The sequence below is a fragment of the Homo sapiens genome, chromosome 5 (assembly GCF_000001405.40).
Source record: "Homo sapiens chromosome 5, GRCh38.p14 Primary Assembly".
Taxonomy (NCBI): Eukaryota; Metazoa; Chordata; class Mammalia; order Primates; family Hominidae; genus Homo; species Homo sapiens.
The window spans coordinates 145,707,950-145,721,942 of record NC_000005.10 but is presented as its reverse complement, the minus strand read 5'-3'; the positions used below and the strand labels follow the sequence as shown (position 1 = coordinate 145,721,942).

At 35.0% G+C, this 13,993-nt stretch overlaps 1 protein-coding gene across 8 annotated transcripts in view, besides 1 other annotated feature; it reads left to right on the top strand.

Moving 5' to 3' along the window:
• Positions 1 to 13,993, top strand: part of PRELID2 (PRELI domain containing 2) — a 606,358-nt gene that overhangs the window by 113,400 nt on the left and 478,965 nt on the right. The window lies entirely within an intron of this gene.
• Positions 10,351 to 10,551: a silencer, noted in NCBI's record as "peak5513 fragment used in MPRA reporter construct". NCBI's record gives its function as "represses an SCP1 promoter by STARR-seq MPRAs in K562 erythroleukemia cells {active_cell/tissue: K562}" and the evidence as "EXISTENCE:reporter gene assay evidence [ECO:0000049][PMID:32103011]".

The following is a 13,993-nucleotide window of genomic DNA, read 5'->3' as shown; positions in this document are numbered from 1 at the left end:
GGTTGCTCTGTTATTTGGTGCATAAATATTCCTAAATGTTTTATCTCTATTTTGAATTACAGATTTTAACATTAAAGTGCTTTTTTGTTACATTAAAAGGTTTTTCTGGTTGGCATTCTACCTTGTCTTATGTCAGGATTGCAAACCCTGCCTTCTTATTAATTCTATTTCCTGTTATGTCTGTGTCCATCCCTTTAGATTTAGCTCTTCTGAATCACTGTTTTTAGGTGTGGGTCTTATATACATCCTGGCTTTGATACCTGTTGGTGAGTTAATTCAGAAATATTTTTATTTTAGAAGATGAGTTAAGCCAATCCACAATTAACTAATATCCTTGTTATGTTTGATCTATACTCTGTCACTTTATTTCAGTTGTAGTTTTTATAAAATTACTATGTGATTTTATTACATTTTCTGTTTCTCTATATGATGTGTTTGCTTTGCTCTTTAATTTTTAAAATTTCTTTTGGTATTAGGATTAGGTATTTAGTGATAACATTTGTATTTACACCTTTTAAAAATTCCCTTGTCTGCTGGTTAGCCTTTATTCTCTGGCTTGCCAGTTTCTGACATACCCTTGACTCCTCCCCTTGATCTATACAATAGCTGTTCTCAAAATGTTCAGTAGGGGATCCTTGAAACGCTTTCATGGAATCTGTGAGATCAAAACTATTTTCATAATAATACTAAGACATCATTTCACTTTTCTACTATCCTTTTCTCATGAATGCGTGTGAAAGTTTTCCAGAGGCTATATGGTAAGTGATGATATCATTGCTCTGATGGCTAATGAAAGTGTGAAACACATATGAAAATCTAGCTGTCTTCTATTAAGACAGACCTTAAAGGGATTTGCAAAAATGTGAAATAATTCTTGCTGCTATATTTTTTGGAAAAAGTTTTATATTATGTAATGGGTTTATTATTTTAAAATAAAAAATATTTTAAAACCTTTCAAATTTAATTTCTAATATGGCAGATATATCTACTTCATAATAGATATAACTCACATAAACAAAAACTTTCTGAGGTCCTCAAAAAGCTTAGAAGTGTAAAAGATTTCAGAGGCCAAAACATTTGAGAACTGCTTCTATACAACAATCAATGCATTTATTCTCCTTTCCAATTCCCCTCTCCCTTTTCTTTCACTTTTTTTTCAGATTATTTTTATTTTATGGGAGCATTTGACATTTTATGTTATTTTTCTACCTTTGTCTCTATTTCTGTTTTAGTCTTAAATCTAAAATTATATGTATTAAGTCCTCACTATTAACCCTTTTACCTAAATTTTCACAGTGATAACATGGATGGATGAAACTAGTCCTTTAGTAGTTTCTTCAAGAAGGAGTCATGAATACAGGACTCTCCAAGTTTTTACATATGTAAAACTAGTTTTTATTTATTTATCTTTTTAGACCTTGATCTTGAAGAACAGCTTAGCTGAATATAAAATCTTTGGTTCACATTTTTTTTCCTCTTGAATTTCTTGCAAATACTGCTTGCTTCTTGCCTTGATCTGTATGTTGCTCTTGAGAAGTCTGATGCTAACAATTCTGTTGCCATTGTAAGATTTTTTTTTCCCTTCTGGGAGACCTGAGGTTTTTTTTTTAAAATTATCTTTAATGTCTCATAATTTTACTGGAATATATCTGAGGGTTGACTACTGAGGGTGAATTTTCTCAAGTATCTGGTGGGCCCATTTAGTATGTGGATTTAGATTTTCTGTAATTTCCTGAACATTTTCTGAAATTATATTTTAAAATATTAGTTCTATTACATTCTTTTTTCTTTTTCAGAGAGTTCAATTACATGTAATTGGATCTTCTTTGCTTGTCCTTCATTTAAATCACTTCCTTTTAGACCCTTTTAATGTTTTATTTTTATTGTCTCATTTTTCTGCTTTTCTTCATTTCCTCTTATCACATGTTCATTTGCATATAATATTCCTTGGGTAATTTGTAATTTAATTTTTCATTTTTCTGAGAAGATTTCTTTTTTTCAATCAACTCTTACTTAATTTCTTTCTGTTTTATGTACATTTCTGTTCCTTAGATTTTGATGATCTGATTTAAGGTGTTTTTCATATTCCTACATACTTGTTTGAAGACACTGGATTTAGTTTGGGGTATTGCACTATAGTTTCTTTGGCTTTGTAGTTGTTTTGGAGGTTGGAGGGGGAGGAATTTTATCATTTTGAATGTTTCAATTTTAGGTTTCCATTTTATCCTTCCGGTAGGTTTGTATAAATGTAGATTCTTTTTCAGTCTTTATTTTGTGTATCAGGTTGGCAATCCGGGGAGACTATAAGCATTTAATTCAAGAGATCCCTCTTCTATCTGTGTAATGAAGTGGAGCTTCTTCAATGGATATCGATCTGTCATTATGTATAAATATATGTATGCATGCACATATGTATGTATTCCCTCTCTCTCTCTCTCTCTCTCTCGTAATGGGAAAGTTACCATTTATCTCCCAATATTTTTACTACCTTTTGTCTTGTAGGATTTTGTTTCTTTTACATGCTTCTCTTCACCATCAAGACTCCGAAGTGTTTTTCTTTATACTGTCTTTTTCTCAAGTTATTGTGCCCTTCTGAGGCCGCCACCTTGAGTCCTACACATCTTAAAGCCTGCAGTCACTCTTCTTGTTAAATTTTTTCATGATTAGTATAGGCCTTCTCTTTCTCAGGGTGATTTTAATTTAATCTTAGACATGCTACTCCCCCTTTTCTCTTCCCACAGTTTTCCTGGACTTCCCACATTCTCTACAAATGCCTTCAGGGGGAGCTAGTGTTCTCTGTCTTCCAGTTATCCTGAAGGTTTGTGTCTCCTGTGGTTTTATTTGTACTTTTGTTAATCTTTATGGTTTGGAAATGTTGTCAAGTGATTCAGATTTAGATGGCCATCATTATCCTCAGGATACCCAGAAAGCAGAACTCTTTACATTTGATGCCATCAAATCAGTCACCTTCTTTTTCCCATATAGTGTATGCTTTTATTTTATTTATTTATAAAGTCCAAGACATTTTCCTCAGTTAACTTTATGGTTCTACCTGTTACCCTCACATCTTACACTTATCAAGAGTGGCCCTTTTCATGTAATATTATGGAGGAAACCAGTTATATTTTTCTCCATGTAATAAACATTTTTTCCAATACCTTCTCTTAAACAATCAAATCTTTTCTTAATTATTTGCATTTTGTCATATGTCAAGTATTCAAACACACTAGTGTGTTTCTCTGCTATTTATTCTGTTCCGTTGGTCTATTTGTTAATTTTTATGGCTTAATAAATATATCTTAATATCTAGAAGCTTGCTTTTTAGTTTTTTGTTTTATGGTTTACTTAGCTAAGCATGGGTCTTTATTCTTCCCTGTAAATTTTAGAGCAAATATGATAAATTTCTCAAATGCATTCAAGTTGAAATTTGACTGGGAATTTATACATTAGTTATCGGAAAATTTATGTCTTGAAAATTATTATTAATTTTATTCAAGTCATGGAAGATCTTTCCATTTATTCTAATCATCTTTTACATTCTTTATTAGATTTTAGGATTGTTTTCTGGAGAGATATTCAGTTTTGTCACTTAGGTTAATTCCTAGATATTTCATAGTTTGTTGCTTATTTTATTTTTTATTATATTTTCTAATTAGTTATTGCTGGTGTTGAGGAATACTATTGATTTTTGTAGGTCAATCATATATCAGCATCATTGCTAAGCTCTTATTTTTTCTAATAGCTTGTCTCTAGATTCTGTTGTTTTTCCTAAGTAGATGACCATATGTAATCTACAGATAATGCCTCTACTTTTTCACTGTTGCATTTGAGCATTTTATTTTGCATTCTTGGATGAAACAAAAATAAGAAAATATAGCAGTGTCAGATTTGTTCTTTGCTTTCCACGAACTTCAATTATCCTTACTGTCACTCTCCAGGGTGACTATTTAAGAGTCGACAGTAGCTATATATATTTTTAATGTAGTATAATGTCAAAACCCATTATGAATCCAGAAAAGTTATTCTTACCATGGAGAAGAAAATACTCAGCCTCTGAAGGACAAATGAACTAAGAAGGAGAAACACTACCCTGCAATCCTCTCATTTATATTACATCTGTTGATAGTATTGATCTTAGCACTTTGGTTAGCTAACAAAAATTAAATATTAGGGCCCATTTTACTTACTTGATTTTAATTTATAATATTTTATTATAATTTTACTTACTTGATTTGAAGTTTTAAATTTTATTATAATTATTTTAAATCTAATTTATTATATTAAATAATACAAGAAATAAAATTGTAATTGTATCAAATCATATGATTCAAATGAAATAGAACTAGGCAGAAAGAAACTCCCTTTATTGTCTTACATATTTCCACCTCTTCTTTCTTCTACCACTACCAATTTTCTGTGCATCGTTTTATCCTCTTTCTTTACTCAAATACATGCGTATATATGATAAGACTTTTTTCTTCAGTTATTTTAAAAACATATTATTTATTGAAACATAACTCACATACCATAAAATTAACCATTTTAAAGTGTACAGCTGAGTGGGTTTTAGTATATTCACAAAGTTGAGCAACCAGCCATAACTACTGTCTAATTTTCAGACATCTTTATCACCCTCAAAGAAACCTCATGCCTGTTAGTAGTCACTCTCCATTTCCCCTTCTCCCCAGCCTCTGTCAACCATTAATCTACTTTCTGTCACTAGGGATTTGTGTGGGCCAGACATTTCAGAGAAATAGAATAAAATAGTATGTGGCTTTCCTTAATGTAGCTATGCATGATTTATTAAAATAAGCATTAATGGGATCATAATAAACATATTTTTCTGATTCTCTTTTCACTTAATATTTTTTCCATATCTTCTTATATAGTTTCACGTACTTATTTTTAATAGCAGTATAGTGCACACAGACTAGATGTATCATACTTTATTCACGCATTCCATTATTGATGGGTATATGAGTTGTGTCAGTCAATATCAACAATCAACTTTGTGTTCATACATATAGTGTGCAGGTGCAAGTGCCTTGTCCAGAAGAGAAAATAGAACAAAATGGAAATAATAATAGGACACACTCTAAAAAGTTATTGTGCAGATAAAACAAGACAATACCAGTGTTGAGAGCAATGCCAGGCACATAGCAAACTCTCAATAAATGCTAGCTGTTATTAATATTACAAAAATATTCAGATCTTCAGTAGCATAGAAAATGGTTATAATATAATAGTAAGTGTAAAAATCAAGCCAGTAAAATAGCGTATATACTTTGGTTGCAACTGTGTGAAAACTATGTCTTCTTATGAATAAAAACTCAAAGGAAAGATGAATACATGAAAGCTGCTTTGTTATGATGGTATCATAGATTGCCTTTTTATGTTTTCAAAATGTCTTTAATGTTATAACAGTAAAAAGTTAAAAAGAAATATATAGATAGAAGAAGAAATCTTGACTTGCCTTTGAAGATGAGAAAGAGGTTTCTGAGCACCCACCCCAAAACAAGGTGGCTCTGATATAGAAGTGTCAAGACATGGTAGCTCACCACGATTTCTTCTCAGTGAAGGATTCCTGGTGGTTTTCTCTTCCTTTATGATAAACATCTTTGCTTTGTCTCCTTGGTTATTCATCGACTGATCCTTTCAGTAGACATTTGTTGAGAGCCCACCATGTGCTGGGCACTATTCTAGTCGCTACATATACAATGACGAACAAGACAGGATAGGTTTTGGATTTTACATTCTAACAGAAGACTTAGACCAGGGGTGTCCAATCTTTTGGCTTCTCTGGGCCACATTGGAAGAAGAATCGTTGTCTTGGGCTACATATAAAGTACATTAATACTACCAATAGCTGATGAGCTAAAAAAAAATCGCCAAAAAAAATCTCATAATGTTTTAAGAAAGTTTACAAATTTGGGTTGGGCCACATTCAAAGCCATCCTGGGCCACACGCAGCCAGAGGGCCATGGGTTGGACAAGCTTGGTTAGACCTAAACAAATAAATAAACAAGAAAATAGATAATGATACTTGCCATGGAGATAATTAAAATACAATGATGTGATGATATTTTACTTGGTGACTCCTCTAGATCGATGGTCAAGAAAGCCTTCTCTGCAGAAGTAACAGTTTATCTACTGGGCCTAAATGACAAGAAGAAGCCATCCATGGGACACTCATAGGGAGAAACATTTCTGGAGCATGACTAGCACACGCAAAGGCTTTAAGGTGGAAGCCAGTGTGGTGGGTGTGAAGTACAGAAACCAGTGTGGATGGGCAGTGGTGAGTGAAGTGGGAGCAGAATGAGGTCAGAGAAGAAGACAGGCATCCAATCATGTGGGTGGTTGTAAGCTGGGGTGGGAAGTTTGGATTTCATTCTAAGTGGGATGGAAGCATTGGATGATTTTTAAGTAGGAGAGTAACTTGATTGGATTTAAGTTCCAAAAAGTTCACTGGCTATTCTGCAGAAAATGGATTTTAGTAAGATTGGAATCAGGGAGATCAGTTAGAAAGTATAGCAATGGTCTAGGCAAGAGGCGATGGCAGCTCAGATTAGGGTAGTAGAAGTAAAGAGGAGAAATGGCTGTTGGGATTCATTTGAAGACAAGTTAACTAGATTTGCTATTGCATTGATTTTGGGGGATAAGGAAATAAAGGGACTGAAGATAACCTCTAGATTTTTGGCTTGAGTAATTCGGTGAGTGGAGATGCTATTTATACTGAAGATGACTGAAGAATTCCTGGGGAATAGAAAAGTTCTGTTTTGATAATAAAAAAGCAAACATTTCTATCAGAAGTACAAACAGAAATGACAAATAAAGGGTTGATTGTATGAGTGTGGATTTCCAGGAGAAATTTTGAAGTCTTTAATACAGATGTGGTATTTAAATCCATGGCATTGGGAAGGCTTGCCTAGATGGAGTATGTAGATAAAATGGAGAAAGAGGTCTAGGATTAAGTTATCGACATACTCCTAGATTGAGTATGTAGGTAAAATAGAGAAAGAGGCCCAGGATTAGCTGCTGAGTGGTTAGGAATAAGTAGCGGAGCCCAGAAAAAAGACAGAGAGAAGATAATGAAGTAGAAAGAAGAGCAGGAAAGAGGGATGGCACAGAAGCAACAAGAAGAAAGTGCTTCAAGAATGCAGGCGAGTTAACTGTTAAGTGCTTATTGAAAGGCCTGGTAAAATAAAAGGAGAGAAAGGGAGTTTGGATTTGGCAACAAGGAGACTTGTGAACTTACGACACAGATATTAGAATCAGACAAAATTGGATTTGAATTTGAACTTCAAAGATCGGTTGTAAAGGTTAAATGAGGTAAAATATATGAAATTACTTAGCACTTAATAGGAACTTAACACATATTATTTCCTGGAAAGGCAGAATTCTTGAAATATTCTAGGGAAGAGGTCCTAGCTTCCTGGTGTTTTGTTTTTGAAGCTCCAGCTTCAAAAACGATTTGATTCTTATTTTCAAAGCAGGGAATAGGGTTTATTGACCTGGAGGGAAGATACTTCAGGGAAGTTACTTCTGTCCAAGAAGGATATTAATACAAGCTTATTCCCTTGAAGTCCCATGGGGAGTTCTTCTTAGCTCTTGTTTGGTTCCTTGGGCATTTGTGCCTGTTAAATCTCGGTCATGAAGTTTCATGCCAATCTGTCACACTTATTTAATTCTAACATAAACAGAGTGGATTGAGGCTAAAAGTGGTTGGTGTTGTGCCTAAAACTTGACCAAACACCACAGAGGAGCCTATTTCATTACTATATTCATGCTCTCTTCCTGAGGACATCTTGCTGGGAGTTGGGGAGGGGACGAGAGGGTAAAAATAAAGGTTTATTGTTTACAGGTGCAGTCATCAGGAGCTCAGTTCAGTTCTTGTCCTAAAATGTTGGCTCTAGAGTTAGCCAGTTCTTAGTCTGCTATAGACTTTTTTTTTTAGTTTTTGTTTATGTGAAAATGTGCTTATTCCCCATGCATATTTGAAGAACAATTTCACTGAATATAGAACACATATTTGAAGAACAATTTCACTGAATATAGACAGGTTTTCTCCCCCTCTTTCAGCACTTTAAAATGTAATTCCATTGTCTTCTGGCATATATATATGTGCCAGAATTACATTTAAATGTAATTACATTTAAAATGTAATTCCATTGTCTTCTGGCATATATATATGTGCCAGAAGAACTCTCATACAAGCAAACTCTAAGAATGATATCTGACTTTATATATATATAGTGTGTGTATATATATATACACACACTATATATACTTTATATATAGTATATATAAATATATATTATATATTTACTATATATATTTTATGTATATAAAGTATATATACTTTAGTGTATATATATAAAGTATATATAAAAAGTATATATATATAAAGCACTTTAAAAATGTAATTCCATTGTCTTCTGGCATACATATATAGTATATATATATAGTGTGTGTATATATATATAAAGTATACATATATATGTATATATATAAAGTCAGATATATATAAAGTATATATAAAAGTCAGATATCATTATATATATATAATGTAAAGTATATATATATATATATATAAAGTCAGATATCATTCTTAGAGTTCTCTTGTATGCAATGTTCCCCTTCTCACTTACCACCTTGGCTGCTTTTAAGATTTTTCTCTATATCTTTGGCTTTTAGTAGTTTAACTATAATGTGTCTAGGTATGTTTTTTATTTTTGTTCAGCTTGTTTAGGGTTAGGTAAGCTTTTTGGATCTGTAGTTGATTTGTCATTAATTTTGGAAGATTGTAATCATTATATTAATTTCTTTTGCTTCATTCTCTCTGTCTGGAACTCCAGTTATATGTTTGTTAATCTAATATTGTCCCGCAGTTCTATGTTGTTCTTCTCTTCTTTATTTCCCCTCATTCTTTTTTCTGTATGTATTTCAATTTAGACAGTTTCTATTGACCTATCTTTAGCTTGACTGACCCTTTCCTCTGCTTTTATCAGTCTTCTGATAACCCTATCAAATATATTCTTCATCTCTGATATTTTTCACTTTTCATGTTTCCATTTTTTCATATATGTGTTGAATTTATATATATAAGTAATAACTTTCATCTCTGCTGAAATAGCCCACTGTTGTCTACCTTTTCCACTAGATCCTTTGATATATTTATATTGGCTCTTTCAAATTTACTGTCTTATATTTTCAACATGTGAGCCATATCTGGGTCTGCTTCCATATACTATATTCTCTCTTGATGGGCTACATTTTGTTGCTTTTTCACATGCCTTGTATTTTTTAAAATTGTATGCTGGATATTATATATAAAAGAACAGTAGCAGCTGAAATAAATGCTATTTATCCTTAAAAAAGGGTATTGCTTCTTTGTATGCTAGGCTGCTAGTGTAGAGGGCTGGTCAATCTAATTTATCAGTGGCGGGCTAGTTGATGTTTAACACCTGGATCTTTGGAAAGAAAAGTCTTGGCTTACAGCATTTGCTGATTTCTACCCTTGCCAATTTCAAACTATCAACATGATGTCACAGAACAGAGAGTTGGGAGAAGCACAGTAATATATTATTATGTAATATTTCTAATATACAAATACAATAGCTATAACTTCAAGAATATATATAAAATTATAAAATACCGTAAAATCATTAGGAAGTGATGAGTTTTAAGTGTTTGTTACCTTTTAAAATGTAATTCATTTATTTAAGTGTATATAATTTAATAGTGCAGGTATTTAACATTGACTCACAAAATTGCTGAACATTTGACAATCAGCTCTTTCAAGCCAGTACCTTGATGGCTCCAGCACACCAGCGTTAGCTGATTGTATCAGGGCTTTGCTGTTGTTTTAGTTAGATTTAGTTCACCACTGGATTCAGATGATCTATGGGCAGCATCAGGAGTCTCCCTTCAGTAGGGTTTGGGATTTGAGTAGAGGGAATTTCTGGAGATACCTTTGTGTTTTGTAGTGCAGCTACCAGCGTTCTGAACCACTGGAGAGCTCACTTTGCTTTGCAGTCTGGCTGCCAACTTACTGGGTCACTGGGGCGTTCTCCTTGGTCTTCAGTCCTGCCCCTGGCTCTCTGTGCCCCACTGTGCTACCCTGCCTCTGCCTGTGGTAGTGCACTCAGTGAAGCCCAGAGTGCCTGTGAGCAATTTCTCTCAGTCCTCTTGCCCCCGCCCCCCAACCCACCCAACACACAGCCGTAAGTACTCAGGGACTGGAGTGCATTGGAGGGATTCTCTCAGTTCTCCTACTCTGCCCTCAGCCTTCAGCAGACACTACACACCTGCAAACTCAGGGAGAGTCTCTCACAGCTCTCCACTCTGTCCCCAGATTTCCATGTAAGCACCCAGTGAAGGTCTGTGGGAGAGACTTGGCAGGTGGCTGCAGATTTGTGGCTGGGGCTCCTGGAGATACTGAGCAGTCATGATAGCGCTCACTTAGCCTTTCACAACTCAAAATGGTTCAGATGGTCTTATCCAAATCAATGGCAGCTTCCTCCTCATTTCACCACTTCACCAAGGATGAAAGCAGCCATGGGTATGTTCTCTCCTAGCAGGAGCTCACTATTTTCTGGACTTTGGTTCTTCTGGATTTCTTTGCAACCCAAGATTTTTAATGGCCTCCACAAAACTGCGATTTTGTAGGTCACTGTCCTATTCTTTTTGTTAGAATGGCAACAACACTCTTCTATGACCTCCTACTTTCTAAGTGAAAATGAAATTTTCTTGATTCAAATTCTAAACATGATTTTTGTTCAGTTAAATTGTGTACTGGTAGTTGGAAAATTACTTCTAAAAGCGGGCAGATGGCAGGTATTGATCCTCTTGAATGCTTGGGTTCAGGAAATTAAAAGGGTTTGAGCTGAGGGTCAAGGGGTGTAAACAAAGATAAGTGAAATTGCAGAGTATAGCTTCATGGTATGTGTGGCAGAGATTACTTATTGTCTATTCTAATATTATCCTCTTAGAAACAGAACCCTGTGTGCTTAGCTGAATGCATGGCCACCTGAATAAATTCTCTGTTCCTCAACCTCCCTTGCAGAGAGGTGCAGCAATGTGTTTAAGTTCTGGTGTATGAGTTGTAAGCAGAGATGTCTTATGACAGCTTCTGGGAAACCTCTGTAAAGAACCTTCTTTTTTATCCCTTATTCATTTCTGCTACTTGGCATGCAGATGAAATGGCGTGAGCCTCAGCGACATTTTGGACCAGGCAGTGATGTTAAGAGTGTCACTCTTGTAGAACAGTAAGAACAAAAGTGTCTGAGCCCTGGCATCATGGACACTTATGCTATGTCTGGATTGCCTGCCTCCTGACTTCTTTCTTGGGAGAGAATAGTTCGTTCTCTGTTTTAGCCATAGTTCAGGGGAGAAGAATTCCTCTGACATGAAGCTAAACCTATGTCTGACTGATTTGGTAGGTAAACTAGAATCATGCAATCAGAATCTTAGAGCTAGAAGAATCTTTTAATAGCACTTAATTCTATTTCCTACCTTTTTGAAAAAGGGAAAAATTGAGGCCCAGAAAGGTTAATTGTTTTCCCAAGGTTAATGGCAGTTTGCTTTAGATAGCACTTGGGAAAATATCCCACATAGACCTAGGATTCATTAGTACAGCTATGTAACACAATTTTCTTCTTATAGAAACATAAGTAGTACCAAAGATAGTAAATATTTTTATACTTATCATATATATAACATATTTATGTATATCAGAGATAAGTAAAATATTGTGCCTTAAGCAAAGTAGACAGTGTCTTGGCACACGTCCAAACCTTCATGGAGGAAAAATTAATAGTACCTACTAATTGCTTGGAAAAAGTTCCTTTGGATTAGAAATCCTCTTCCATCATCCTTTTGGTAAGTATAGATTCTGAAATAGATTGGCAAGAAATTTGACCCTTTCCCCAAAAAAGCAATTTAAAAAACCCCATAAATAGATTTAAATATTAGATCTCGCTTCTCCAGGGACAGAAATTAAATGGGTTGGAATAATCCCTCTTTATTAGAAGAAAACTGGAATTGACCTCCAGAAGTTTTATTGCAAGATCACATTCAATTCCTCCGATCTCATCTGCTCCAGTCTCTAAGGGAGTGACCACAGCTTGGGATCTGGGGCCTTCTGAATGAGGAGCTAAAAATGGGGTTGGCAATGGTTACTGTCTACATACTATTTGAGCATTGTATTTGAAAGAGAATAAGAAGTATGAAAATCTTTAGTTTGGTGATTGGCTCCTATCTCTTGATGTTCTAAAATTCCTGTCTTGTTATTATTAAAAAATTGAAAAATGGTCTAGCCCAAACAGAGCAGACACACTTCATTTTGTTTTTTTTTTTTTTAAATACAGATCAAGGACTAGAACCTGCTTTTTCTTATTCCCATCAGAATGTTCATTCCACCTGATGGAATCCAACACTCGATTAGCGAAGGCCAGTCTTGCACTTGCATGATGAAGCAATTCTGATGTATAACTGCAGATGGATCTGGAAGCTCCCCCTGCTCCTGCTGTCTCCCACCAATCTCACCAAAGTCAGAAACTCCACAAGTAGAAAACTATTCCTTGGTTTCCATTAAAGTGTAATCACCTGGGGGAGATAGCACAGAAAGCTACTTAATTATTTGCACTTTGAAATGATTGTGGCTATGGGTCCCTTCCTAAGAGAGGTATTGGTGAAGAAGCAAGAAGAGAGGATTAACTGTAGGTCCCTGGGGAAGGGAAGCTGAGCACTACTGAGATAATCAGTGGGTGGGCTTCTGTAGGGTTTGGTAGGCGGTCCAGGAAAAGACGCAAGAATAGCAACTGTAGGTCTTGCCCTATGCTAGTTTTGCTCAAGGTGGTCTTGCAGTCAGGTCTAGGGCTGTCAGCCATGTTTATGCCATAGGATCAGGGCTGGAGCAGCTTTCTCACCCAGGTGCTTGCCACAGCAAAGCTCATGCATCTCACAACCTTTGTGTAGTTTTCTGGCCATATATAGAGGCAGCTGTAGACAGTGTCTTTGATGCCAGCTTGCTGGGGGAATTTTCCACAAAAGCACACGAGGATTTGTCCCACCCGACTGAGAATGCTGTTTTTCTGGATGGATCTCTATTTATGCATGAGGAAACTTGGCACTGGCATAGCGGTAGCTTATTTTTCTATTTTGTTTGGTTTTATTTTGTGCTTCAGAAATAGAACAGATTAAGCATTACTTGCTTTTGAAGGCTCAGCTCTCCCTACAGCATGACTTCAAATGTTGTTCTCCCCAGGCAAGAATGGGGGAAAACACATCTTCTAGCTTTTGTTAAAAGCAATGCAAATGTAGAGAATAGTTGAAAAAAATTTTCTGTTTAATTTATATGTCTTTGAAAATAAATCTTTTTTCCTACAAAAATAATGCTTATTGTAAAGAAATTAGAATAAATCAGAAAACATACATACAAGAAAAAAACAATACAATTGGATGACAATTAAAATGATGTAATAAAATTACATTAGAGCTGGAAGGGACCTTAGAAATAATCTAACTCAATAAACTATTTTATTTTATAAATGATCAAACTGGTTCCCAGAGAGGTTAAGCAACTTGCTTAAGGTCACACAGCCAATAATAAGAGTTAGAATCTATCCTTTTTTTTTTTCTTGATTCATCATTTTCTTACTGTACTACTGGTTTTCCAAAATTTATTTTTTCCTTTTTAGTGATGAGACTGCTTCTTTAGGTCAAATATTACTCTGAAGCCCAACATATAAAACAGGGATGTTCCAGTTGGATGGAAGCTGGTGGGGAGGGGAAGAGCGGGCCTGTTCTCTCTACCCCCAACCACCCCAAGAGTGCTTTGGAGACACCCCAATAGCACATCTCAAATTTCCTAGAGCAACATCAGATACATGGAATAATCATTGCATTATATTATTCAGTCATTTATTTATTCAACAGGTATTTATTGAGTGTTTGCTATGTGCCAGGCATCTTTTGAGGTGAAAAGAATACA